The following is a 6,968-nucleotide window of genomic DNA, read 5'->3' as shown; positions in this document are numbered from 1 at the left end:
TAAAATATCAAAAAGTACACCAAATATATATTATATACTGTATATAAAATATCAAAGTACACCATTTACGTATTATATACTGTACACAAAATATCAAAGTACACATAATACATATAATATACTGTACACAAAATATCAAAGTACACAAAATTCATATTATATACTGTATATAAAATAACAAATTACACCAAATACATATTATATACTGTACATAAAATATCAAAGTACACCAAATACACATTATATACTGTACATAAAATATGAAAGTACATCAGATACATATTATATACTGGACATAAAACATCAAAGTACACCAAATACATATTATATACTGTAAATAAAATATCAATATGTACACCAATTACATATTATATACTGTATATAAAATATCAACAATTACTACCAAATACATATTATATACTGTACATAAAATATCAAAATGTGCACCAAATACATTTCTTATACTGTACATAAAATAACAAAATGTATACCAGATACATGCTATTTAATGTACATAAAATATCAAAAAGTACACCAAATATATATTGTATACTGTATATAAAATATCAAAACACAGAAATTACCTATTATATACTGTACATAAAATATCAATGTACACCTAAAACATTTTACATACTGCACATAAAATAACAAATTACACAAGAGACATATTATATACAGTACATAAAATATCAAAGAACACAAAATACATATTATATACTATACACAAAATATCAAACTACACAAAATGCCTATTATATACTGTATTTAAAATATCAAAGTACACCAAATACGTGTTATATACTGTACAAAAAATATCAAAGCACACCAAATACATATTATATACTACACATAAAATATCAAAACATACCAAATACATATTTAATACTGTGCATAAAATATCAAAATACACAAAATAAATATTATCTACTGTGCATAAAATATCAAAGTACACAAAAATCATATTATATACTGTACACAAAATATCAAAGTACACAGAATACATATTATATACTGCAGGTAAAATATCAAAGCCCGCCAAATACATATTATATACTGTACATAAAATATCAAAAAGTACACCAAATACATATTATATACTGTACATAAAACATCAAAAAGTACACCAAAAACATATTATATACAGTACATAAAATATCAAAAATACACCAAATACATATTATATACTCTACATAAAATATCAAATAGTACACCAAATACATATTATATACTTTAGAGAAAATATAAAATATACACCAAATAGATATTGTATATTGTACATAAAATATCAAATTTCACACAATACTTATTATATACTGTATATAAAAAATCAAAGTACATCAAATTCATTTTACATACTGTACATATAATATCAAAGTACATAAAATACATATTATATACTTTACATAAAATATCAATGTACACAAAATACATACTATATACTGTACACATAATAACAAAGTACGCAGAATACATATTATATACTGCAGGTAAAATAAAGTATGCAAAATACATATTATATACTGTACATAAAACATCAAAGTACACAAAATTCATATTATATACTGTACATAAAATATCAAAGTACACCAAATACATATTATATAATGTACATAAAATATCAAAAAATACACCAAAAACATATTATATACTCAACATAAATTATCAAAGTACACTAAATACATATTATATACTGTACATAAAATGTCAAAAAGTACACCGAATACCTATTATATTCTGTACATAAAATATCAAAAATTATACAAAATACATATTATCTGCTGTTCATAAAATATCAAAAAGTACACCAAATACATATTATATACTGTACATAAATTATCAAATAGTACACCAAATACATATTTTATACTGTACAAAAAATATGAAAATGTAAACCAAATATATATTATATACTGTACATAAAATATCAAATTGTACACCAAATACATATTGTAAACTGTACATAAAATATCAAAAAGTACACCAAATAAATATTATATACTGTACATAAAATATCAAAAACTACAGCAAATACATATGATATACTGTACATAAAATATCCTAAAGTACTCCAAATACATATTACATACTGTACATAAAATAACCAAAAGTACACCAAATACACATTATATACTGTACATAAAATATCCAAAATTTCACCAAATACATATTATATACTGTACATAACATATCATAATGTACACGAAATACATATTATATACTGTATATAAAATATCCAAAGGTACACCAAATATATATTATATACTGTACATAAAATATCAAAAAATACATCAAATATATAGTATATACTCGGCATAAAATATCAAAAAGTACACCAAACATATATTTTATACAGTACATAAAATATCAAAAGTACACCAAATACATATAATATAATGTACATAAAATATCACAAATTACAACACATACTTATTATATACTGTACATAAAATATCAAAAAGTACACCAAATATATATTATATACTGCAAAAAAATATAAAAAAGTACACAAAATACATATTACATAGTGTACATATAGTATCAAAAAGTATACCAAATACTTATTCTATACTGTACATAAAATACCAAGTAGTACACAAAATACATATTATACACTGTATATAAAATATGAAATTACACCAAACAAATATATTATACTGTACATAAAATATCAAAAAGTACACCAAATACATATTATATTCTGTACATAAAACATAAAATAGTATACCAAATAGATATTATATACAGTAAATAAAATATGAAAAAGTACACCAAATATATATTATATATTGTAAATGAATTATGAAAGTACACCAAATACATATTATATACTGTACATAAAATATCACAAATTACAACAAATAGTTATTGTATACTGTACATAAAATAACAAAGTACACCAAATACATTTTAGATACTGTACATATAATATCAAAGTACACAAAATATATATTATATAATGTACATAAAAAATCAGTGTACACAAAATACATATAAAATGTACAAAAAATATCAAACTACAGAAAATACATATTACATACTGTAAGTAAAATATCAAAGTATGCCAAATTCATATTATATACTGTAAATAAAATATCAAAGTACACCAAATACTTATTATATACTGTACATAAAATATGAAAGTACACCAAATACATATTGTATACTGTACATAAAATATCAAAGTACACCAAGTACATATTATAAAGTGTACATAAAATATCAAAGCACGCTAAATACATATTATATACTGTATGTAAAATACCAATAAGTACATGAAATACATATTAAATACTGTACATAAAATATCAAAAAGTACACCAATACATATGATATACTGTATGTAAAATAACAAAATGTAAACCATATATATTATATACTGTACATAAAATATCAAAGTACAAAAAATATATATTATATACTGTACACAAAATATCAAAGTACACCGAATACATATTATATACTGTACATAAAATATCAAAAAGTACACCAAATACATATTGTATACCATACATAAAATATCAAATACTATACCAAATACATATTGTATACTGTACAAAAAATATCAAAAACTATACCTAATACATATATTATACCGTACATAAAATGTCAATTACTACACCAAATACATATTATATACTGTACATAAAATACGAAATAGTACACCAAATACAAATTATATATTGTCCATAAAATATGAAAAACTACAACAAATACATATTATGTACTCTACATAAAATATCAAAAAGTACAGCAAATACATATTATATACTGTACATAAAATATCAAAAAATACAACAAATACTTATTATATACTGTACATAAAATGTCAAATACAAGAAATTCATATTATATAGTGTACATAAAATATCAAAGTTCACCAAATACATATATACTGTACATAAAATATCAAAATAAACCAAATACATATTATATACTGTACATAAAATATCAAAGTACACCAAATACATAGTATATACTGTACATAAAATATCAAAGTACACCAAATACATTTTAGATACTGTAGATACAATATCAAAGTACACAAAATACATATTATATATTGCACATTAAATATCAACGTACACAAAATGCATATTATATGCTGTACACAAAATATCAAAGTCCACAAAATACATATTATATGCTGTACAAAAAATATCGAAGTATGCCAAATACATACTGTATAGTGTACATAAAATATCAAAGTACACCAAATATATATTATAAAAAGAGGATAAAATATCAAACTACACCGAATACATATTATATACTGTACATAAAATATGAAAGTACAAGTACATATTATATACTGTACATATAATATCAAAGTACACCAAATACATATTATATACTTTAAATAATATACCAAAGTACACCAAATACATATTATATACTGTATATAAAATATCAAAAAGTCCACCAAATACATATTATATATTTTACATAAAATATCAATATTACACCAAATACATATTATATACTGTACATAATATATCAAAAGTACACCAATGCCTATTATATACTGCACATAAAATATCAAGAAGTACACCTAATACATATTATATACTGTACATAACATATCAAAAAGGACACCAAATACATATTGATAGTGTACATAAAATATAGAATAGTACACCAAATACATATTATATACTGTACATAAAATATCAAAAAGTACACCAAACACATATTATATACTGTACATAAAATATCAAAAAGTACACCAAAAACATTTCAGTCCTATGGTGAAAAAGGAAATATCTTCACATAAAAACCAGACAGTAGCATTCCTAGAAACTATTTTGTTATGTATGCATTAATCTCATGGTGTTGTACCTTTCTTTTGATTGAGCAGTTTTGAAACACACTTTTTGCAGTATCTGCAAGGGGATACTTGGAGCGCTTTGAGGCCTATGGTGGAAAAGGAAGTATGTTCACATAAAAACCAGACAAAATCATTCCTAGAAACTACTTTGTTATGTGTGCATTAATCTCATGGTGTTGTACCTTTCTTTTGATTGAGTAGTTTTGAAACACACTTTTTGCAGAATCTGCAAGGGGATACTTGGAGCACTTTGAGGTCTATGGTGGAAAAGGAAGTATCTTCACATAAAAACCAGACAGAAGCATTCCTAGAAACTACTTTGTTATGTGTGCATTAATCTCATGGTGTTGTACTTTTCTTTTGATTGAACAGTTTTGAAACACACTTTTTGCAGAATCTGCAAGGGGATACTTGGAGCGCTTTGAGGCCTACAGTGGAAAAGGAAGTATCTGCATATAAAAACTAGACAGACACTTTCTGAGAAATTTCTTTGTGATGTGTGCTTTCATCTCACAGAGTTGAACCTTTCTTTTGATTGAGCAGTTTGGCACCAGTCTTTTTGTGGTATCTGCAAATGGATATTAGCAGCCCTTTGAGACATATGGTGAAAAAGGAAATATCTTCCCATAAAAACTAGTCAGAAGCATTTTGAGAATCCTCTTTGTGATGTGTGCATTTATCTCACAGAGTTAAACCTTTCTTTTTATGGAGTAGTTTGGAAACAGTCTTTTTGTAGTATCTGCAAATGGTAATTTGAGCGCTTTGAGGCCTATGTTGGAAAAAGAAATATCTTCACGTTAAAACTAGACCGAAGCTTTCTGAGAAACTTATTTGTGATGTGTGCATTCATCTCACAGAGTTGAACGTTTCTTTTGATTGAGCAGTTTTGAAACACTCTCTTTATACTATCTGCAAATGGATATTTGGAGTGCTTTGAGTCCTATAGTGGAAAAGGAAATATCTTCACAGAAAATCTAGAAAGAAGAATTCTGAGAAACTTCCTGGTGATGTGTGCTTTCATCTCACACTGTTAAACCTTTCTTTTAATTGAGCAGCTTTGATACAGTCATTTTGTCGAATCTGAAATGTAATATTTGTGAGCCCTTTGAGGCCTCTGGGGAAATAGGTAATATCTTCACATAGAAACTAGACCAAAACTTTCTGAGAAACTTTCTTGTGATATGTGCATGCGTCACACAGAGGTGAACTTTCTTTTGATTGGGTAGTTTGTAAACACTCATTTGCAGTATCAGCAAATGGATATTTATAGCGTATTGAGGCCTTTGGTGAAAAAGGAAATATCTTCACATAAAAATCAGACAGAAGCATTCTGGGAAACTTCTTTGTAATGTGTGCATTCATCTCACAGGCTTCAACCTTTCTTTTGATTGAGCAGTTTTGAAACAGCCTTTTTTTAGAATCTGCAAGTGGATATTTGGAGCACTTTGATTCCTATAGTGGAAAACGAAATATCTTCACACAAAAACTAGACAGAAGCATTCTGAGAAACTTCTACCTGATATGTGCATTGACCTCACAGGGTTGAACGTTTCTTTTGATTAAGCAGTTTGGAAACAGTCATTTTGTAAAATCTACAAAGGGATATTTGTGAGCCCTTTGAGGTCTCTGGGGAAATAGGAAATGTCTTCACATAAAAACTAAAGAGAAACTTTCTGAGAAAATTCTTTGCGATATGTGCTTTCATCTCACAGAGTTGAACGTTTCTTTTGATTGAGAAGTATTGAAACACTGTTTTTGTAGAATCTGCAAATGGTTATTTGAACACTTTGAGATGTATGGTGAAAATGGAAATATCTTCACATAAAAATTAAACAGAAGCTTTCTATGAAACTTCTTTGTGATGTATGCACTCATCTCACAGAGTTCAACCTTTCTTTTGATTGAGCAGTTTGGAAACAGTCTTTTTCTACAATCTGCAAAGGGATATTTCTTAGCCGTTTGAGGCCTCTGCTTAAGAAGTAATATCTTCACATAAAAACTAGACAGAAGCTTTCTTAGGAACTTCTTTTTTATGTGTGCTTTCACCTCACAGAGCTGAACTTTTCTTTTGATTGAGCAGTTTGGAAAGAGTCTTTTTGTAGTATATGTGGAGTGATATTTGTGAGTGTTTTAAGGCCTA

The 6,968-nt window shown here is 25.9% G+C and overlaps 1 annotated feature.

The window, feature by feature from the left end:
* Positions 1-6,968: part of a centromere (Linear centromere model derived predominantly from reads generated in PMID: 17803354. This region does not represent an actual centromere sequence, as long-range ordering of repeats and unmapped WGS contigs is not provided by the model. For details of model production, see http://arxiv.org/abs/1307.0035.) that runs on past both edges of the window.

The sequence above is a fragment of the Homo sapiens genome, chromosome 14 (assembly GCF_000001405.40).
Source record: "Homo sapiens chromosome 14, GRCh38.p14 Primary Assembly".
NCBI lineage: Eukaryota > Metazoa > Chordata > Mammalia > Primates > Hominidae > Homo > Homo sapiens.
The sequence above is the reverse complement of the archived record's forward strand: the minus strand, read 5'-3'. Positions and strand labels throughout refer to the sequence as shown.